Here is a 23,280-nt window from a genome sequence, read left to right as displayed (position 1 = left end):
TTAAATCAATTTACTACCACCTCTGGAGCACCTGCTTTATGTCAGCCAGGACTAGGTACTACAGGGCATCAAAGTTAGCAACATGCGGTGGTAGGCAGCCTCTTACGATGGTCCTATGATCCCTGCTTCTTGTTATTCATGTCCTTATGCAAGCTGTTTTTCTCTTTGACTGTGGGCTGAATCTAGTGACTCCTCTCTAACAAATAGAATATCGCAAAAGTGATGAGATGCCACTTCTAAGATTAGATTACAAAAAGACTGTAATCTCAATCTCTCTCTCTCTCTCTCTCTCTCCCCACTCCCCGCGACCCAATTCTTGCTCTGGCATGTTGTGAGTGGCCCTATGAAGAGGTCCTCATGGCAAGGAACTTATGTCTCTGGCCGAGTGCCTTTGAGGGCCCATGGCTGCCAACAACTAGGTGAGTGCTTGGAAGCAGATCTTCCCTGATCCAAGTCTTGAGAGGATTGCAGCCTCTGGGAGCCCTGGGAGCCAAAGACCTGGCTGAGTTGTGCCTGAATTCTTCACCCCTCAAAAACTGACAGATTACATGTTTGTGGTTTTTTAAGCCACTAAGGTTTGGGATAATTTGTTATGCGCAATAAATAACATGTGCATAAATAATAATACGCATGATCTGCCTTCAAAACAAGGTATATAAAGAGTGCATATGAGCAATAAAAACAAAGTATTTGGGATGGAGAAGATTCACAGGATTAAGAAATAGGTGACTAGGAATTATAATGACTCAAACTTACAGAACTCTTTAAAATTTACTGAGTGCTTCTGACACAATTGTCTCATTTTATCTTAACAATCAACTTGTGTAAGGATGGTATTATTTTACTTACCCAACATTAAATATTAATTGATCTAATCATTCAATGAAAATTTTGTGTCAAATATGTGCCTGTGGTGGATACTAAGGAAACCTAAGTAAGTCATAGTAACTGCCCTCAGGAAACCCAAAATAATAGAGCATAGGTACATTAAATAAACAAGAAACAGGCCTTGCAGTACAGTGTATTACATGGCACAATAGAAGTATGCACAAGTGTGTGCTAACTCAAAGGTGGGGATGACGAACTCTTCCAAGAGTTACAAAAAATATCCCAAATGAGATTCTAGAAGAATGAATTTTTTCTACTCTTTCTCAACCTCCTTTCCTGATTTCTCTTCCTCCACCATGATAAAAGAAAAATCTTCAGCCAAATTAAATTTAAAGGAGTTTAATTGAGCAATGAATGATTTGTGAACCAGGCAGCCCCCAGAATCATAGCATATTCATAGAGACTCCAGCACAGCCACGTGGTGGAAGAAGACTTATAGACAAAATAAGGGAAATGACTAAAGAAATCAGAAGTGAGGTACAGAATGGCTGGATTGGTTACAGCTCGGTGTTTTCCTTATTTGAACACAGTTTGAACGCTCAGCAGTGTATGAGTGGTTGAAGTATGGCCACTGGGATTGGCCAAGACTCAGCTATTGTTACAGGCACATACTCCTAAGTTAGGTTTTCAATCTTGTCTACCTATTAAGCTAGGTTACAGTTCATCCACAATATTTCAAATATAGAAGTATGGAGTCCTTCTCAGGCCATATTTAGTCCACTTTAACAACCATAATGTGTGATGATTGTCAGGGCACTCCAGAGAAACAGAGCCAATAGCATATATATAGATCTATAAGAGGAGATTTATAATGAGAATTGGCTCTAAGGAGGATGAGAAGTCTTACAATACACCATTTGCATGCTAGAGACCCAGGGAAGCTGGTGGTGTTTATCAGTCCAAGTCCAAGGATTTGAGAACCAGTAGAGCTGATGGTGTAGGTCCCATTGGTCCCAAAGGGTCCAAAGGCCTGAGAACCAGGAACTTTGATGTCTGAGCACAGGAGGAGATGGATACCCAGACTTAAGAATAGAGAGGTTTTGCCCTGCCTCTACCTTTTTTGTTATATTCAGGCCTCAAAGGATTAGATGATGCCCACACAGGTGAGTTACAGCAACCTTCTTTATTCAGTCCACCGATTCAAATGACAATCTCCTCCAGAAACATCCTGATACACACACCTAGAAATGATGTTTACCAGCTATCTGGACATCCCTTAGCCCAGTCAAGTTGACACATAAAATTAACCATCACAATGATCGCCACAGATCTTTGGACACAAATCAGAAGCTAGAAAGAGGCTCCAGCCAAAGCTCAAGTAAGTTCAGATGTGAACTGATGGTCTGAAATGGGATAAAGAGGTGGTGGTGAGAGAGAGAGAGGTAGAAAGGGAAGGATGGAGAGGAAGATAAGCAGCTTGAGGGAAGGGCAGAATTAAAAGACAAAGTGTCTGCAGTGTGGGAGAGGTTAGAGAATGTTTGTCGGCAGATTGTAAGGAGCCAAATCAGGAGAGATTTGCATAGGATATATCATATGAAGAAAGAAGTAACCTAAAGGCCTTTCAAGGTTCTAAGAAAAGAAATCAATTCTTAATCTGTCATGAGATTCGAGAGAAAAAACAACAACAACAAAGAAATCGAGTCTTTAAAATGATGGACCAATGTATCCCCTGATATGATGTGATAAGAAGAGTAATTCATCTGTGTGGTAGTCTTCACCATAAGCCTATAACCCCACTCTAACCATTTGTTGGACAATTTGTCTAATGGACAAATTGGGGAACATTCTACAAAATACCTGACTAGCACTATTCAAAACTGTCAAGATCAGTCTTTGAGAAACTGTCACAGACCAGCGGAGACTAAGGAGATAGGATGACTAAATGCAATGTTATAATATCCTTAGTGGGATCCTATAACAGAAAAGGGGCATTCATGGGAAAAAAATGGTGAAATCTAAATAAAGTCTGCAGTTTAGTTAATAGTAACATATCAATGTATATATTTAGTTTTGATAAGTGCACGTCAGTAATACAAAATGAAAGCATTAGGGGAAACTGAATCTGGTAAGAGTCACATGTGAACTCTTTGTATTTTTGCAACTTTAATGTAAATCTAAAAATATTCCACAATTATAGGTTTATTTTCAAAAATGATAGGCCAGTAGTAAAATCTAAATTATGGCTTGTAGAAACCAATTTTTCCATTGGCTTCACCGTTTGTAAATCAGCTTCCACAATCCTGCCTCTTGGATGTATCCTTTAGGTAAAGGGACAGTTCTTTGAGGATTTTCCAAAAGATTCCTAACTTAAATGTTATATCAAAAACAGGTTTGGCATGGGAGAATATAAAGCACTTGTAAGAGCCTCATATAAATGGTCACTGAAAGAGAATACAGATGTATTGAGAGACTAAATGGAAAGTAATGTCACCAGGCAGGCTATAGACCAGAGAGGCAGAGCCTATATTTAATCATCCTTCCTGGTCCCTAGTCTGTTGCCTAAATAAAGACATTTTCCAGATAGATAGATAGATAGATAGATAGATAGATAGATAGATAGATAGATAGATAGATAGATAGACAGATACTAAGAAAGTTTACTACCAACAGACCCTCATTAAATTTACTTATAAAAAATAACAAAATTATGTAAATTGGGAGAGGAGCGGTCAATGTTAAAATATTCAGCAGCTGTTGATTTATTTCAGAGGGAGGTGAAGATATTGATTTACTTCAGATTCTGTTAAAGCAATTGTGTTCATTTAGTTAATCTTGCACAATAAAATTTCAAGGTAAACCTATGACATTCAAACTTAAGACTTCAAGGGGAATTGGACCAAAACATGGGCTCCTCCCTTTTCTCTGTTCCACTTTTCATTCTCTGCTTCTCCCTAGAACTAGAGAATTCTCAGGCCCATGACAGGTGTTTGTTGCATATGAGGATCAAAAACTATGTGAAACAAAGAAACAGGAAACTGTAGATAATAACCTAATGAACTGTAGATTCAAATCCAGTGGCAACAAGACTGGAGTCATCCTCTTAGGCCACTCCAAAGTCCTAGGGAGGGAGAAGTTTCTCAACACTCTCTATCCTCCAGCTGCACTGGACTACTAGCTATTTCTCAAACACATCATGCTTTTCCACAACTCCATGACTTCCTCCATGCTGTTCCTTCTATGGAATGCCCTTGCACTATCCTACTTCTTCCTCAAAGTCCAGTTTAAGCCTCACTCCTGAAAGGCTTTCCCAACCCCTAGGCAGAGTGAGTTTTTCCTTCTTTAATATTTCCCTAGTGCCCTATTTACATCTCCCTGTAACACCAACCCTATTGTAGAGGTCATTTTTTCAGCCTGTTTCCCAGAAACTGTGAGCTCCTGATGAACAAAGTGCCTGACACACAATAGGTGTAAAAAAAAAAATGTTAAGTAGGTTGATAGATGGATAAGTGGATGGATGGGTAGGTTGTGGCAGAAAATAGTCAGATGCCCAACAAATCCACTTTTCCTTTCTCTTGAGCATGCTTTTAGATTACATTTCCTAGCCTCTTCCATCTAGAAGAGGCCATGTGACAGAGTTCTGGCCCATAGAACATGTGCAGAAATCATGGGTGCCATTTTCAGGATAGTCCTCTAAAATCTCCACACCAACCCTCCACATCATCTCTCCCCGTGTGCCAGGCAGATGCAGATGACCCAGTAGAAGACGCCAAGGCCCATGGCAAAGAAGCCAAGTGGAAGAAGCCTGAGTCCCCAAACAACTGAATGGGGCAGAGACCCCTTGTCCTGAATTGGATGATGACATGAACAAAAAATACACCTTTATTGTGTGAATTCACTAAATTTGGGGATTGTAAGAACAGTTAGCCCAGCTTGACTATACATGAATGAATCTAAGAAACAACATAGTTGAGTGGGCTTCTGATTTTCCAAGGAACATCATTAGCTCCATAAAGTCCACTGGCTCATCCCTAGACCATAAAATTCTTGCTATTGGTGTTGTCTTGATTAAAAGAAACAAGCAAATAAATAAAACCCTTTATGATGAAGGTGACCTCTAGCTTTTGGGGAGTCAGGAAACATTCTCCTTTTTTGGCAGAGCTGCCCCTAGAACACTGAAAATCCCATAGGTTATATTGCTGATTGGACAGTGGCTTAAGGAGGAAGTTACTGGAGAAGAGGAGCTGACTCCACCCACTTATACTACAAAACAAACAAACAAACAAACAAACAAACAAAAAACACTTGTGGCTCCCCACCACTCCAGAAACCATCCACATGTCCACAGGGATGGGTCTAAGATATGCACACCTGACCAGCCAGAGACAGTCGGACTCGCAGGAGATTCTATGCTTTGAGGGTGGCTCACTTTTCTCTAGGATTGGGAACTACCCAGACCTTGTAACTCTGGAGTAGCAATCTTCCCACTTGTTATAAGCTGAATTGCCCCCCTGTCTGCCAAATTCATATGTTGGAGTCCTAACTCCCAGGACCTCAAAATATGATCTTATTTGGTGATGCAGTCTTTACAATTAAAAATAAGATCATTATAGTAGGTCCTAATCCAACATGACTGATGTCTCTATAAAAAGGGAAACTTTGGCACAGACAGACAGAGACAGAGGCATAGAGGGAAGATAATGTGAAGAGACACAGGGAGAAGGCAGCTGTCTAAAAGCCAAGGAGAGAGGCCTGGAAAAGACTCTGCCTCATAGCCGTAAGAAGGAACTAACCCTGTTTGTGTCTTGATCTTGGACCTCCAGCCTCCAGAACTGGGAGACAATAGATTTCTGTTGCCTAAACCACCAGCATATGGTACTTAGTTACAGCAGCCCTAGCAAACTAATACATTGTCCCTTAGAGAGGGCCTCTCTGAGAATGAAAACAACACAGAGGAAAACAGAGGTAAGAAGTGGAAAAAGACAGAGCCAGCATGTAGTCTACCCAAGACCTTTCATGAATCTGAACTAGTCAATGCCTTTGTTCCTGAAGATGTTTTGAGTTAATTTTCTTTCAATGAAAGATCCTTGACTAATAGAAGTGGAAATGCTCCAAACCCAAGGCTTGCCTAGGATAATAATATTCCATAATGCCACCCTCTTCTTTCTAAAAAGTGCTGCTCAGTATGTATTTTCTTTTTTATTTAAAAGAAAAAAAAGGCAATTAAGCTTGCCTTTGTTTTGAGAATATCATGATTTGGCTATAACCCGAAGTGCTACCAAGCCATGTTAGGAAACATCATTTTTAGTTGGACATTCTTCTTAGGGAAATCTAGGTATGTGAGAAAGGGAATATAGGAGAGCACATCAGTTAAAGAGGAGCTTTAAAATAGCTATAAGAAGATTATACCACAAAGAGATATCTTGATGCATTGGAAAGCAAATTAGTTCTAAAGTCAGAAGACCTCGGCTTCCTTGAGCAAATCACCTAAGTGTGATATGGTAGAAAGACCCTGAGATTTGGAGCCACAGGAGCCTGAGTTTATATCCAGCTCTGGAACTTTCTCTGTATCCTTGAGGAAAACATTTACCTAACTGAGCAATTTAGCATCAGATTCTTTGTCAATGAAATGAGATTAAGGTCTGATACCCAAATCAGTGATCATATGAATACAGCAGTGATGACCATGACTGGTACCTAGTAGGTGCTCAGTAAATGGTAACAAAAAGTAACATTTGTTCTTACTCCTTATTTCTTATCCCTAGGTTTCTCAGTTTCTCCATTTGTGGACTCTGGATAATAATCCTTCCTGACAACAAGATTCTTACAGAAATCATAATATTTAGCAACTTGAAAGTGCTTTGTAACACAGATATCAGATACAAATATAAAGGCATTCTTATCATAAGGGAAGTGATTAGAAAGTTCATTGTACCTCCATTTCCTACACCTACCTATGGCTCTCCAGAGCAGCAGCTTTGAGTGAAAGAACTAGCCACTCTTAAGCAAGTGGACACCAGCTCCAGTAGGACAAGTTCAGGTCCTATCCAAGTCACCCAAACTATGGGACAAACCCCTGCAAGATCCAGACCTCCAGCTCACTGTTAGGCATGCCCTGCACAAACTGGAAGCAAATTAGAGGAACCAAGACAACAATAGCCAGAAAAACAAAAGGTGCTCCACACAGTACACAAATGTGCATGTTTCATATATTGTCCGTGCTTGAATATGTTAGAAACTGAAATAGTGCGTTTGACACTGAAACCATGTATGCAGGAAGATTACACCTGTCATCACTTAGCTGTTGTCTAGAATTATTCTTGGTTACCACCTAACTGGTAGGAAATTCTCCTGCTCTGCACCGTGTCTTGCTGTTGGACCTAAAGAAGTTCTAATACATTGCCTGTGGTGCCAGCTACTCAGGAGGCTGAGGCAGGAGAATGGCATAAACCTGGGAGGCGGAGCTTGCAGTGAGCCGAGATCACGCCCCTGCACTCCAACCTGGGTGACAGAGTGAGACTCCGTCTCAAAAAAAAAAAAAAGCAGGTGGAGCCAAGATGGCCAAATAGGAACAGCTCCAGTCTACAGCTCCCAAAGTGAGCGACACAGAAGACAGGTGATTTCTGTATTTCCAACTGAGGTACTGGGTTCATCTCATTGGGGAGTGTCGGAGAGTGGGTGCAGGACTGTGGTTGCAGCACACCGAGTGTGAGCCGAAGCATGGCGAGGCATTGCCTCACCCGGGAAGCACAAGAGGTCAGGGAATTCCCTTTCCTAGTTAAAGAAAGGGGTGACAGACAGCACCTGGAAAATCGGGTCACTCCCACCCTAATACTGCGCTTTTCCAATGGTCTTAGCAAACGGCACACCAGGAGATTTTATCCCACGCCTGGCTCAGAGGGTCCTACGCCCACGGAGCCTTGCTCATTGCTAGCACAGCAGTCTGAGATCAAACTGCAAGGCGGCAGTGAGGCTGGGGGAGGGGCACCCGCAATTGCCTAGGCTTGAGTAGGTAAACAAAGCAGCCAGGAAGCTCGAACTGGGTGGAGCCCACCACAGCTCAAGGAGGCCTGCCTGCCTCTGTAGACTCCACCTCTCGGGGCAGGGCACAGCCAAACAAAAGGCAGCAGAAACCTCTGCAGACTTAAATGCCCCTGTCTGACAGTTTGGAAGACAGTAGTGGTTCTCCCAGCACACAGCTTGAGATCTGAGAACAGACAGACTGCCTCCTCAAGTGGGTCCCTGACGCCTGAGTAGCCTAACTGGGAGGCACCCCCAGTAGGGGCAGCCTGACCCCTCACACGGCTGGGTACTCCTCTGAGACAAAACTTCCAGAGGAACGATCAGGCAGCAACATTTGCTGTTCACCAATATTTGCTGTTCTGCAGCCCCCAATGTGGATACCCAGGCAAACAGGGTCTGGAGTGGACCGCCAGCAAACTCCAACACACCTGCAGCTGAGGTGCAGCTAACTGCAACACACCTGTTAGAAGGAAAACTAACAGACAGAAAGGACATCCACATCAAAACCCCATCTGTATGTCACCGTTATCAAGGACGAAAGGTAGATAAAACCACAAAGATGGGGAAAAAACAGAGCAGAAAAACCGGAAATTCTAAAAAATCAGAGCACCTCTCCTCCTCCAAAGGAATGCAGCTCCTCAACAGCAACAGAACAAAGCTGGACAGAGAATGACTTTGACAAGTTGAGAGAAGAAGGCTTCAGAAGATCAAACTTCTCCAAGCTAAAGGAGGAAGTTTGAACCCATGGCAAAGAAGTTGAAAACCTTGAAAAAAAATTAGACGAATGGATAACTAGAATAACCAATGCAGAGAAGTACTTAAAGGACCTGATAGAACTGAAAACCACGGCACGAGAACTACGTGACTAATGCACAAGCCTCAGTAGCCGATTCGATCAACTGGAAGAAAGGGTATCAGTGATGGAAGATCAAATGAATGAAATGAAGCAAGAAGAGAAGCTTAGAGAAAAAAGAATAAAAAGAAACGAACAAAGCCTCCAAGAAATATAAGACTATGTGAAAAGACCAAATCTACACCCGATTGCTGTACCTGAAAGTGACGGGAGAATGGAACCAAACTGGAAAACACTCTGCAGGATATTATCCAGGAGAACTTCCCCAATCTAGCAAGGCAGGCCAACATTCAAATTCAGGATATACAGAGAACACCACAAAGATATTCGTCAAGAAGAGCAACTCCAAGACACATAATTGTCAGATTCACCAAAGTTGAAATGAAGGAAAAAATACTAAGGGCAGCCAGAGAGAAAGGTCGGGTCCCATCAGACTAACAGCTGATCTCTTGGCAGAAACTCTACAAGCCAGAAGAGAGTGGGGGCCAATATTCAACATTCTTAAAGAAAAGAATTTTCAACCCAGAATTTCATATCCAGCCAAAATAAGCTTCATAAGTGAAGGAGAAATAAAATCCTTTACAGACAAGCAAATGCTGAGAGATTTTGTCACCACCAGGCTGGCCTTACATGGCTCCTGAAGGAAGCACTAAACATGGAAATGAACAACCGGTACCAGCCACTGCAAAAACATGCCAAATTGTAAAGACCATTAAGGCTAGGAAGAAACTGCATCAACTAATGAGCAAAATAACCAGCTAACATCATAATGACAGGATCAAATTCACATATAACAATATTAACCTTAAATGTAAATGGGCTAAATGCTCCAATTAAAAGAAACAGACTGGCAAATTGGATAAAGAGTCAAGACTGATCAGTGTGCTGTATTTGGGAGACCCATCTCACGTGCAGAGACACACATAGGCTCAAAATAAAGGGATGGAGGAAGATCTACCAAGCAAATGGAAACAAAAAAAGGCAGGGGTTGCAATCCTAGTCTCTGATAAAACAGACTTCAAACCAACAAAGATCAAAAGAGACAAAGAAGGCCATTATGTAATGGTAAAGGGATCAATGCAACAAGAAGAGCTAACTATCCTAAATATATATGCACCCAATACAAGAGCACTCAGATTCATAAAGCAAGAACTTAGAAACCTACAAAGAGACTTAGACTCCCACACAATCATAATGGGAGACTTTAACACCCCACTGTCAACATTAGACGGATCAAGGAGACAGAAAGTTAACAAGGATATCCAGGAATTGAACTCAGCTCTACACCAAGCAGACCTAATAGACATCTACAGAACTCTCCACCCCAAATCAAGAGAATATACATTCTTCTCAGCACCGCACCACACCTATTCCAAAATTGACCACATAGTTGGAAGCACTCCTCAGCAAATGTAAAAGAACAGAAATTATAACAAACTGTCTCTCAGACCACAGTGCAATCAAACTAGAACTCAGGATTAAAAAACTCACTCAAAACCACTCAACTACATGGAAACTGAACAACCTGCTCCTGAATGACTGCTGGATACATAACGAAATGAAGGCAGAAATAAAGATGTTCTTTGAAACCAATGACAACAAAGACACAACATACCAGAATCTCTGGGACACATTCAAAGCAGTGTGTAGAGGGAAATTTATAGCACTAAATGCCCACAAGAGAAAGCAGGAAAGATCTAAAATTGACACCCTAACATCACAATTAAAAGAACTAGAGAAGCAAGAGGAAACACATTCAAAAGCTAGCAGAAGGCAAGAAATAACTAAGATCAGAGCAGAACTGAAGGAGATAGAGACACAAAAAAAATCAATGAATCCAGGAGCTGGTTTTCTGAAAAGATCAACAAAATTGATAGACTGCTAGCAAGACTAATAAAGAAGAAAAGAGAGAAGAATCAAATAGACACAATAAAAAATGACAAAGGGGATATCGCCACCAATCCCACAGGAATACAAACTACCATCAGTGAATACTATAAACACCTCTATGCAAATAAACTAGAAAATCTAGAAGAAATGGGTAAATTCCTCGACACATACACCCTCCCAAGACTAAACCAGGAAGAAGTTGAATCTCTGAATAGACCAATAACAGGCTCTGAAATTCAGGCAATAATTAATAGCTTACCAACCAAAAAAAGTCCAGGACCAGACGGATTCACAGTCGAATTCTACCAGAGGTACAAGGAGGAGCTGGTACCATTCCTTCTGAAACTATTCCAATCAATAGAAAAAAGGGAATCGTCCCTAACTCATTTTATGAGGCCAGCATCATCCTGATACCAAAGACTGGCAGAGACACAACAAAAAAAGAGAATTTCAGACCAATATCCCTGATGAACATTGATGCAAAAATCCTCAATAAAATACGGGCAAACCAAATCCAGCAGCACATCAAAAAGCTTATCCACCATGATCAAGTGGGCTTTATCCCTGGGATGCAAGGCTGGTTCAACATACGCAAATCAATAAATGTAATCCAGCATATAAACAGAACCAAAGACAAAAACCACATGATTATCTCAATAGATGCAGAAAAGGCCTTTGATAAAATTCAACAGCCCTTCATGCTAAAAACTCTCAATAAATTAGGTATTGATGGGACATATCTCAAAATAATAAGAGCTATCTATGACAAACCCACAGCCAATATCATACTGAATGGGCAAAAACTGGAAGCATTCCCTTTGAAAACTGGCACAAGACAGGGATGCCCTCTCTCACCACTCGTATTCAACACAGTGTTGGAATTTCTGGCCAGGGCAATTAGGCAGGAGAAGGAAATAAAGGGTATTCAATTAGGAAAAAAGGAAGTCAAATTGTCCCTGTTTGCAGATGACATGGTTGTATATCTAGAAAACCCCATAGTCTCAGCCCAAAATCTCCTTAAGCTGACAGGCAACTTCAGCAAAGTCTCAGGATACAAAATCAATGTGCAAAAATCACAAGCATTCTTATACTCCAATAACAGACAAACAGCCAAATCATGAGTGAACTCCCATTCACAATTGTTTCAAAGAGAATAAAATACCTAGGAATCCAACTTACAAGGAATGCGAAGGATCTCTTCAAGGAAAACTACAAACCACTGCTCAATGAAATAAAAGAGGATACAAACAAATGGAAGAACATTCCATGCCCATGGGTAGGAAGAATCAATATCATGAAAATGGCCATACTGCCCAAGGTAATTTATAGATTCAATGCCATCCCCATCAAGTTACCAATGACTTTCTTCACAGAATTGGAAAAAACTACTTTAAAGTTCATATGGAACCAAAAAAGAGCCCACATTGCCAAGTTAATCCTAAGCCAAAAGAACAAAGCTGGAGACATCACGCTACCTGACTTCAAACTATACTACAAGGTTACAGTAACCAAAACAGCATGGTACTGGTACCAAAACAGAGATATAGATCAATGGAACAGAACAGAGCCCTCAGAAATAATGCCACATATCTACAACTCTCTGATCTTTGACAAACCTGACAAAAACAAGCAATGGGGAAAGGATTCCCTATTTAATATATGGTGCTGGGAAAACTGGCTAGCCATGTGTAGAAAGCTGAAACTGGATCCCTTCCTTACACCTTATACAAAAATTAATTCAAGATGGATTAAAGACTTAAATGTTAGACCTAAAACCATAAAAACCCTAGAAGAATACCTAGACAATACCATTCAGGACATAGGCATGGGCAAGGACTTCATGTCTAAAACACCAAAAGCAATGGCAACAAAAGCCAAAATTGACAAATGGGATCTAATTAAACTAAAGAGCTTCTGCACAGCAAAAGAAACTACCATCAGAGTGAACAGGCAACCTACAGAATGGGAGAAAATTTTTACAATCTACTCATCTGACAAAGGGCTAATATCCAGAATCCACAAAGAACTCAAACAAATTTACAAGAAAAAAACAAACAACCCCATCAACAAATGGGTGAAGGATATGAACAGACACTTCTCAAAAGAAGACATTTATGCAGCCAACAGACACATGAAAAAATGCTCATCATCACTGGCCATCAGAGAATGCAAATCAAAACCACAATGAGATACCATCTCACACCAGTTAGAATGGCGATCATTAAAAAGTCAGGAAACAACAGGTGCCGGAGAGGATGTGGAGAAATAGGAACACTTTTACACTGTTGGTGGGACTGCAAACTAGTTCAACCTTTGCAGAAGTCGGTGCGGTGATTCCTCAGGGATCTAGAACTACAATTACCATTTGACCCAGCCATCCCATTACTGGGTATATACCCAAAGGACAATAAATCATGCTGCTATAAAGACACATGTACATGTATGTTTATTGTGGCACTATTCACAATAGCAAAGACTTGGAACCAACCCAAATGTCCAACAATAACAGAATGGATTAAGAAAATGTGGCACATATACGCCATGGAATACTATGCAGCCATAAAAAAGGATGAGTTCATGTCCTTTGGAGGGACACGGATGAAGCTGGAAACCATCATTCTCAGCAAACTATGGCAAGGACAAAGAAACAAACACCACATGTTCTCACTCATAGGTGGGAACTGAACAATGAGAACACGTGGACACAGGAAGGGGAACATCACACACCAGGGCCTGTTGTGGGGTGGGGGGAGGGGGGTGAGATAGCATTAGGAGATATACCTAATGCTAAATGACGAGTTAATGGGTACAGCACACCAACATGGCACATGTATACACATGTAACAAACCTGCACGTTGTGCACATGGACCCTAAATCTTAAAGTATAATAAAAAAATAAAAAATATTTAAAAAAGGAGGAACTTTCTCACAGTAAAAAAAAAAAAAAAAAAAAAAAGTTCTAATACATTGCTGAACTGACAGTCATTCCTCCAGAAATAGCAAGTTAACTTGCTTTAGTGCTGAAGCCATCAGTGACCAGGTGCCATGGTTTCAAACACTTTACTCATATCAATCATGTGAGCTTTTTACCTCAGGACAAAATGGAACTCAAGTGGGTTTTTTAAGTAATATATTCTAGGAAGAACATGCAAAATCTGTCATTCAACAAGAGAAACAGTATTTGTTTTCTGCCTAAACAGGGCTAATGAAATCGTGGCAGCCCCTAATATATTCAAATGAGGGACATCAGATAAAATTGAACACTAAAGGGAAAATGAAATCAGAAAAGGTAGAGTTTTGAGGGATGACCAAGGGAGAAATGTGGGCCATGCCCACTTTGCCTTGTGGTGTTTTACAAGAGGATGGCTTGTAGTTTTAACAGCTTTAGGCATATTGTTGCATCAGCAAGGGGTGACTCTGTGGTCTCCTTGTGGGCTTTCCTGCGCCCTGCCCAGATTTTGAATGAGAAAGACAGGGACAAAAGAAGACAGCAGTTTATTGTAAAAGGGAGCAAGCCCTATGTTGTGTACTCTATATGAGAGATTAGTGCATCAAGAAAGAGCCACACTGCACATGCCCAACATTGTATTGGCAAACTTCTATCAGAGAAACATACACCAAAATTACAACTTGAGATTTCTGAAAAATTTTCTTCTTCCCATAGGCTGCATTTTGGTCAATTTTCTCAATTATGTCAAAGAGAGGGAAAACCTATCATTTTTTTCCGGCTCATCGATTTGGTTGACAAGGTCTGGATAGAATTACGTTTTAGAAATGACTTATAAATAACACTTACTGGTAGTACAGTATCCCTTTACATAGCAGACAGAATACAGCTTTAAAGCCAGGAGGCCCAGCTTTAGGCAGCATCTGTCCCATTAGCAGCTAGTCCTTGAAGACAATATTCGAGTTTTAGTTTTCTTATCTGTAAAATGTAGCCCATAGCTTGTGAGAAGAAAATATATTAAGGTGTTAGGTTATTGTGCTCTGTGAGCTTAACAGCATTACAAAAATGTACAATTATTAGTAATAGAAAAGGCGAATGCTTGGTAATTGCTGACAGTGACCCCTGAAGAAGTCTAGAAGATAGCAGATGCACACATAAAATAACTCTAGCTCATCTCTAGGTGTGAAAGTCTCCTTCTTAAGAAGCCAAAAAACAATAAAATAAAATAAAATAAAACGGTCATAAACCAAGAAAATATGAAGTTCATCTTTTAAGAGTTTTATCTTCATAAGAACACTTAGGTGAAAAATCAAGATGCATCTTTGTAGTCTTTTCTTAGAAAAGCAAATTTACAGCTGCATATAGAACCTTTGTAGATACCTAACAGGACTGTGTCAAATGAAATCCGCAAGCCTCTAAATTAAATTGGGAAAAGAACAGCAAGTAGCCTCTTAGCAATGTCATGACTTAGGATTTGGCGTAAGTTGAAAGGTGTTTGAGACACTTTATTTTGGTGATTTAATATAACACACTTATCTGGTTCATTTCCACCCACTTGGGTGAGGCCTCCTTCTCCCCTTTCTCCAACCTTCCTGGGGTAGTGGGAGAACCTCCCAAACAAACATGTACTGCCACGCCTGGGCACATGTTCTTTCCTTTTCTTCTGCTCTGGCTCTCTTTCCCAATTTTGCTGACAAAGTCAAATCAAGATGCTTCTTCTCTACCATGGGGGTTGGCCATCAAGGTCACTCTGAGTCAATACAGATCTGCCTTAAAACAGCCCTCCCATTATATTGAATATTGACCAAAAAAAAAAAAAAAAAAAAACATCCCAAAGTGGAGAGCATGCCTTCCCCTACCATTCTGTCACCATGATTCCAGGGGAGACTTGCCTCGGTTCCCAGTGCCCAACAGTGAGCCATGTGTGAGAACCACTCCTTGCTTTTCTGTTATTCATCCCTTCCACCCTAGACTAAGGCATAAGCCCAAGGAACTGGCAGAAAGAACAAACTCTCAGACAGATGCAATACTGTCATCAAAATTCTCATTTCCTTGCTTCTGTTTCAACTGTTTTCTCACATCTTCTGACTGGTGTATCAGGGCAACATTTCCACCATTTCTCCATAATCAATTCACTCTCATAAAGTTTTGTGCTTCAGCTGGGTTCAGTTGCTCATGCCTGTAATCCCAGCACTTTGGGAGGCTGAGGTGGGCAGGTCACTTGAGCCCCAGAGTTCAAGACTGGCCTGGCAACATGGCAAAATCCTGTCTCTACAGACGCACACACACACAAATACAAAAAATAGCTGGGCATGGGGGGGGCACACCAGTAGTCCCAGTTACTCAGGTGGCTGAGGTGGGAGGATTACCTGAGCCCAGGGATTGAGGCTGCAGTGAGCCGTGATCACACCACTACCCTCCATTCTGGGCAACAGAGTGAGACCCTGTCTCAAACAAACAAACAAAAAAGCCAAAAAAAAAAAAAGCTTTAAGTTTCACTACAGTGATAGTTGCTGAGTGTTTAGTCACTTATTCATCAGCTGGCATCCTACATGTGGTACATTGTCAGTAGCCTATGGCAGAGATAGTATCACCAGAGACAGTGGCCAGTTTCAGAAAGAGTGCTAGCCTGGGTGCTAGCCCTAGTCTACACTCTCTAGGAAAACTAAGACAATCCTGCCATATGTGTAAGATTTCCATCATTTATAGGATTTTCTTCCAAATATCCTTCTCCTGGTGCTAACGCCTAAACCATCCCCATAAGCATGATATTCTCATATTCTGAAAATGTTTCTCCAAACACACTTTGCCACAGCTGATTCCAATTCTGTCTCTCTCACTGTAATCAAAAGTATTTATGGAGTTCTGCAAGCCCAAGTGTCCAGGCTGATCAAATACCCCAGCATGAGAATAATGCTCTGAATGATGTGAGAAAGTTCTTTTTTGAAAACAATTTAGAACATATTGGAAGGCACACCAGTTGTGTTTTTAAGCCACACAATGATATTATCAAAGCTGCTGCGGCAGGCCACTAATTGCCCTCATCCACCACCCCAGATCCATTATCTCTTCATAGTCTTCATTATGACCAAAAGATGAAGAAGGGAGAAGTAAGTGCTAGGGTGAAGAGTGCATGTGGGGAAACATTTCACTGGCCCTATAGCCCATTCTGTAATCCAGAATGGATTCCACTTGTGTCTAAAGGAGGTGTGTTATCTGCCTTCAGTGTTCACTGGATATTTGCCACATGCTCCATCGTCACTTCCCCAGGCTGTTTATCACCAGCAGGGAAGCTCTGTGGGAGAGACATCTGCAGCCCAGGTAAATGCTGATTCTGCTGCCTTCCGGAAGAGCTAGTTACTGTCAGGAAGAAGGGGGGCATACCAAGTGGAAGAAGCAGGGTGAAGGATTCACTTGGTTCCCACTTTTTCATCTGAGACCTCGCTGCCTCTTGCAGCCATCAGAATGCTCACACCAGTCCAGCCTGCCTCAGACGCTGATTTTGGTAATTCTTAGAGGAAGCTCCTCAATGGTAGAGACTAGAGTTTAATTTGGTTTGCTTTTGTGCTGTTTTCCAATTAGCATCAACCTTCAGAGAGCCCAACACACTATCTCTTCTAAAGGTATGTTATTACTGTTAGCTGAAATGATGCTCTCCATACCCAGTTTTCAGTTGGTGAATCTGTGGTTCTACAAGATAAAAGAGTTTGCCAAAAATTATTGTTTTTAATTTTTTTTTTTTGCGAAAAGGTCTCACTCTGGAGTGCAGTTTTGCAATTTTGGTTCACGTCAACATCTGCCTCCCGGGCTCAAGGGATCCTCCCACCTCACCCTCTTGAGTAGCTGGGATTAGAGGTGTGAGCTACCATACTTGGTTAATTTTTGTACCTTTGGCAGAGAGACAGGGTTTTGACTTGTTACCCAGGCTGGTCTCAAACTGCTGGGCTCAAGCAATCTGCCTTCTCAGCCTCCCAAAGTGCTGGAATTACAGGTGTGAGCGACCACAACTGGCCTGCCCAAAATTAAATGGTCTGAAATGCTGTTTGGACTCGCAAACTTCTTCTGATTTTCAGTGTCATTTATATCTTTCACCACCATGAAGACACATTGTGTGCCACATTATTCCCCATTGCAGGTCCATCTCTCCAAAAGAAATGTCCTGCCAATGATGCCAGAGAATGGCAATCACTCCTGTTTTCTTACCCCTTACTGTACTTATGGGTTTTCTTACATATTTCAGGTAGAGGGACTAGCATGAAAAAGGATACAGGGGTAGGACTTTATAAGGCATTTTGGGGAAATGCCAAATAGTCAAAGCATTAGACTATGAGTTACATAATTGCTGATAGTGGGAGAAGATTGCAAAGAATAAACCAGAGTGTGATGATTATTGATTATTCTTGCCAAAGAATTTACAGTCTCCTAATGGCCATGGAAAGCCATTATATATATATAAATATTTTTTTAAAGGAAGTAACAAGCTCAGATGTGTATTTTAGAAAGCTGCTGGCTGAAGACTAGAACCAATAACACGATACTGCCAGAGATGATTTTTTTTAAGTCTGTGGCAGTGATAGAAGAAATAGAGAAGAGGGAATGGATCCCAAAGGCATTGCAAAGTTAGAAATCACAGGCATTGGGCCAGGTGCGGTGGGTCATGCTTATAATCCCAGCACTTTGGGAGGCCAAGGCAGGCGGATCATGAGGTCAGGAGATTGAGACCATCCTGGCCAACATGGTGAAACCCTGTCTCTACTAAAAATACAAAATTTAGCTGGGTGTGGTGGTGTGTGCCTGTAGTCCCAGCTACTCGGGAGGCTGAGGCAGGAGAATTACTTGAACCCGGGAGGCAGAGGTTGCAGTGAGCCGAGATTGCACCACTGCACTCCAGCCTGACGATGGAGCGAGACTCCATCTCAAAAAAAAAAAAAAAAAAAAGAAGTGATAGGCATTGATTGTTGAACATTTAGATTGTGCAGAGGAGGGCGAAAAGGAGGAGAAACAGCAGAGTGCAAACTTTCTAGCTTATAGTATAGATGACAATATTCTTCACTGAGAGAATACAGAAGAAGGAACCAATTGGCAGGTCAGATGACAACCTCAGTTTTAAGCACATTGCATTGGAGCTAGCTGTAGGACATTCTGGTGGAGATGTCTGATGGGTACCTGGAAATTTTTGGCTGGAATTCAATGCAAAATATGAATCTGGGTAGAGAAAATGTGTGTGAAAATGAATGAGCTCACCTGGAAAAAGTGGAATAAGAAAAGAGGATGAGCAGTAAAATCTTGCAGTTACTGAAAAATTTTGGTGGGAAGATGTACAGAAAAACAATAGTTAAAGAAATTGAAAGGCCCAGCGCAGTGGCTCACACCTGTAATCCCAACACTTTGGGAGGCCAAGGCAGGTGGGTCACCTGAGCTTGGGAGTTTGAGACTAGCCTGACCAACATGGAGAAACCCCATCTCTACTAAAAATACAAATTAGTTGGGCATGGTGGTGCATGCCTGTAGTCCCAGCTACTCGGGAGGCTGAGGCAGGAGAATTGCTTGAACCCGGGAGGTGGAGGTTGCGGTGGGCCGAGATCGTGCCATTGTACTCCAGCCTGGGCAACAAGAGTGAAACTCTGTCTCAAAAAAAAAAAAAAAAAAAAAAAAAAGAAAAAACAAAAGAAAAAGAAAAAGAAATTGAAAAAGGATGGCTGGAGACAGATGAAAACAAAAACCCAAGCCTGGTGTGAGGAGCACCAGCAACTGTGTTAGGGACAGGGTGGGAAACTTACAAAACTGTATTGCTAAACCATTTAAAAAATAATGTTATATAAAATACCAGTTCTAATGCTTGCTTATTCTCAACCAAAGAATTTATAGTTTTCACAGCACACGTTTTCCAAAGTGTTTCTCAGGCCTTAATTTTTCTCTACTAATCAGATTGATATTTTTTTTAGGAATGTTTCTAAGAGTGTGTAATGGGAGTAAACTAGAAAAATGTTATTTACTGTATAGGCAACAGAGCTGGAAGATATATTTTTTAAAAATTAAAGGAGACCTGGTTTTAAAGTATAACCATATTAATGCTATGTTGCTTGATACATACAACTAAGTTCAAGTATTTATTAAAGCAACTGGCAAAAATGCATTTATGGCTTAGCTCTTTGGATGTAAAGATGGACTGAAGTGATAGGAGACACCTCTCCCTTCAAGAGCTATACAGTATAATCACAGTGGTAAGATGTTGGAAGGCACACCAGCTGTATTTTTAAGCCACACGATGATATTATCAAAGCTGCTGTGGCAGGCTACTAATTGCCCTCACCCACAACCCCAGATCCATTCTCTCTTCATAGTCACGGTGTAATTCTGGCCCTGCACAGGCTGTCAAGCTAGAGGCTATCTCCCAGCTTTTCTGGAGTTAAATATGGCCATGTGGTTAAGTTCTTACTAAAGATGAAATCTTCTCTGTCACTTACTTAAAGTCACTTAATCCTAGATTTCCTCTTTCCCCTTCCCACTGGCTGGAACATAGACCCCACAACAATCCCCCTTCAACTTCATGGATGGGGACAACACCCTAGGATGGCAGAGCAACAGGGGGAAGGGACTTGGGATGCAACTTATCTGGTAATGCAGAGCTGCCTTCTCAGCCCGGATCACTCACCATGGACTATTACATGAGGGAAAAATAAACCTCTCTCTTCTTTAAGCACAGTACTGTGGACATACATATTGGCCTTAAATCTAACTGGTAGAGCTACTATTTATTGAATGATTAACATGTTTTCTATACATTAGCTCAACAGATCTATACACAATTCTGTGGGGCAGTTATTTCATATTCCCATTTACAGATCAAAAAACTGAGATACAGACAAACAGATTAAGTAATTTGCCTTGACCAAAAACTAGCAGGTGCTGGAGCCTGGAGTTCATGTCTGCATGACTCCAAAGCCCACAGTTTTAACTCACTGCTCTTATTATTAATTATTCTTATTTTAGTAAGAACAATTTTATGTTAAATCCTTTTTTTAATTTTTAACTGACAAATAAAATGGTATATATTTATTGTGTACAACATGATGTTCTGAAATATGTATACACTGTGAATGGCTAAGTTGAGCTAATTAATGTGCATTACCTCACATATTTATTTTTTGTGGTGAAAGCACTTAAAAATCGATTCTCTAGGCCAGGCATGGTGGCTTATGCCTATAATCCCAGCACTTTGGGAGGCCAAGGGGGTAGGTCACTTGAGCTCAGGAGTTTGAGACTAGCCTGGGCAACATGGTGACACACCTTCTATATATTTTTTTTAAAAAATCTATTCTCTTAGTGATTTTCAAAATAGATTACTAACTATAGTCACCATGTTGTACAATAGATCTCTGGGACTTATCCCTCTTATCTAAACTTTTTTTTATCATTTAACCAACATCCCCCGACTCGCCACCCCCCATAGAGTGCTCTACTTCTATGAATTCAGCTTTTGTAAATTCCATGTATGCATGAGATCATGCGGCATTTGTCTTTCTGTGCCTGGTTTATTTTGCTGGACATAATGTCCTCCAGGTTCATCCATGCTGTCACAGATGACAGGATTTCCTTCTTTGTTAAGGCCCAATACACTGCATTCTTTTAAAATATTTCAAAATAACTAATAACTTTTATTTAATAAGTAATCATTTTAAGTATTACTAAAGTAACTTCTGTTTATTGGATGACTGATATCAGACTCTATACTAATTGTTTTACGTACACTAACTGATTTCATCTTTATAAAAATACTATGGGATAGTCATTATTTGTATCCCCCTTTTGCAGGTCAGGAAACTGAGTGGTGAAGCAAGTCACCCAAGGTCACTGTTAAGGGCAGAGTTATGCCCACCCACCTGCCAAAAATTTCCGAGTTCTGTCCCCCTCTCAGTACCTCAGAAGGTGACCTTATTTGGGAGATAGGTGACTCGGGAGATAAGGGATTATGGGTAAATAAGTTAAGACAAGGTCATTAGGTTGGCCTAAATTCAATATGACTGGTGTCCTTATAAAGAGGGGAAATTTGGACACCAAATTTGCATGTGCAGAGGAAAGACCATGTGAAGACACAGGGAGAAGACATCTACACGTCAAAGAAAGAGGTTTCGGAAAAAACCAGCTCTGCTCACACCTTGATCTTGGCCTTCCAGCCTCCAGAACTGTGAGGAAATCAATGTTTGTGGTTGAAGCCACCCAGTCTGTAGGACTTTGGTATGGCAGCCCAAGTTGACTAAGACAGTCACGCAGATAGGTAGATGACATCTGTTGAAGAAGGTGTAAGTTCAGAGCTCAGAGTAATTGCTGCGACAATGTCATGGAGGAGAAATAAATGTCAGCTAGAGGATTCAGCACCAACCTCGCTGTGGAGATGGCAGTTGAACAGGGCCTTGAAGAACTATAGAGGTATCCTCCAGGATGAGAAAAATAACAAGTGCATCTGCAGGGAGTGGAGGAGGACAGCCCAGGATGCACGGTCTCTGCAAAGTGAAGTGGGGCATTGCTGGGGCTCCAGGGGGTGTGAGCCCACTGTCAGCCCCAAGCCTGCTTCTCTAGTTGAATGCCCTGGGGAGGGGGCATAGGAACCTGCTGGCTGTGGCAGCCAGTGCAAAGAGGAGCCCACCAGCTGGGTGTGGGAGCTGGAAACTGTCCCATGCAGGGAGGCTTTTAATCTCCCTCAGCAGCTTCGGGAGCCTTGGCCTCCAGGGAGAGGTGCCTTCTGCTCTCACTGGGAGGCTCCCATCTGCTCACCACCCTGTGAAAATCCACAGCCAGGACCTGGGTGACGCCTCTGCTTTTTGACCTTTCCCATGTAGAGAGCTTAGTTTATTTGTTTTCTACTCTAATTATAAGATATTTCTAAACGGCTCATCCACTAAAACCTCTGTTTGTTAGTCTAGCAGGTAGCGAAGCTCCCCTGTTTAAAATAAAATATACTTCTCTTGCCTTTCCCACACTGTGAGGGTTAATTCTATGTGTCAGCTTCACTGGGACACAGTGCCCAGATATTTGCTCATTTTTCTAGATGTTTCTATGAAAGTATGCTTTTTGGGATGAGATTAAGATTTAAGTCTGTGGACTTTGAATAAAGCAGGTTACCCTTCACGATGTGAGTGTGCCTCATCCACATTCTATTGAATGGGAGGGAAGGAGGGAAGGAGAGAGGGAGAGAGAGGGAGAGAGAGAGGGAGAGAGAGGGAGAGAGAGGGGGAGAGTGAGGGAGAGAGAGGGAGAGAGAGAGAGAGAGAGGGAGAGGGAGAGAGAGGGGGAGAGTGAGGGAGAGAGAGGGAGAGAGAGGGAGAGAGAGGGAGAGAGAGAGAGAGAGAGAGGGAGAGAGAAGGAGAGAGAGGGAGAGTGAGGGAGAGAGAGGGAGAGAGAGAGGGAGAGGGAGAGAGAGAGAGGGAGAGGGAGAGAGAGAGAGGGAGAGGGAGAGAGAGAGAGGGAGAGAGAGGGAGAGTGAGGGAGAGAGAGGGAGAGAGAGACAGAGGGAGAGGGAGAGAGAGAGAGAGGGAGAGAGGGAAAGGTGGGGAGAGGGAGAGAGGGAAAGGTGGGGAGAGGGAGAGAGGGAAAGGCGGGGAGAGAGAGAGATTGATTGAGAGAACTGACAAGGGCTGTGAAAGATGTTTAGCATGAAAAATTACTAAAAAAAAAAAAAAAATCAGAAGGGAGAGTTTTGTTTTTACATTTTCCTAATTAATTACCAAGACATAAACCACA

The 23,280-nt window shown here is 41.6% G+C and overlaps 4 annotated features.

Moving 5' to 3' along the window:
* Positions 7,120-7,640: an enhancer, noted in NCBI's record as "H3K27ac-H3K4me1 hESC enhancer chr4:141747379-141747899 (GRCh37/hg19 assembly coordinates)". NCBI's record gives its function as "activates a minimal SCP1, AML or CMV promoter by ChIP-STARR-seq in naive H9 embryonic stem cells {active_cell/tissue: H9 hESC(naive)}" and the evidence as "EXISTENCE:reporter gene assay evidence [ECO:0000049][PMID:30033119]".
* Positions 7,641-8,162: an enhancer, noted in NCBI's record as "H3K27ac-H3K4me1 hESC enhancer chr4:141746857-141747378 (GRCh37/hg19 assembly coordinates)". NCBI's record gives its function as "activates a minimal SCP1, AML or CMV promoter by ChIP-STARR-seq in naive and primed H9 embryonic stem cells {active_cell/tissue: H9 hESC(naive and primed)}" and the evidence as "EXISTENCE:reporter gene assay evidence [ECO:0000049][PMID:30033119]".
* Positions 7,712-7,761: a silencer, noted in NCBI's record as "silent region_15714". NCBI's record gives its function as "represses an Ori minimal core promoter by ATAC-STARR-seq in GM12878 lymphoblastoid cells {active_cell/tissue: GM12878}" and the evidence as "EXISTENCE:reporter gene assay evidence [ECO:0000049][PMID:35858748]".
* Positions 7,912-7,961: a silencer, noted in NCBI's record as "silent region_15713". NCBI's record gives its function as "represses an Ori minimal core promoter by ATAC-STARR-seq in GM12878 lymphoblastoid cells {active_cell/tissue: GM12878}" and the evidence as "EXISTENCE:reporter gene assay evidence [ECO:0000049][PMID:35858748]".

Source organism: Homo sapiens, chromosome 4, assembly GCF_000001405.40.
Source record: "Homo sapiens chromosome 4, GRCh38.p14 Primary Assembly".
In the NCBI taxonomy this organism is placed as follows: domain Eukaryota; kingdom Metazoa; phylum Chordata; class Mammalia; order Primates; family Hominidae; genus Homo; species Homo sapiens.
This window is presented reverse-complemented; position numbering and strand designations above follow the sequence as displayed.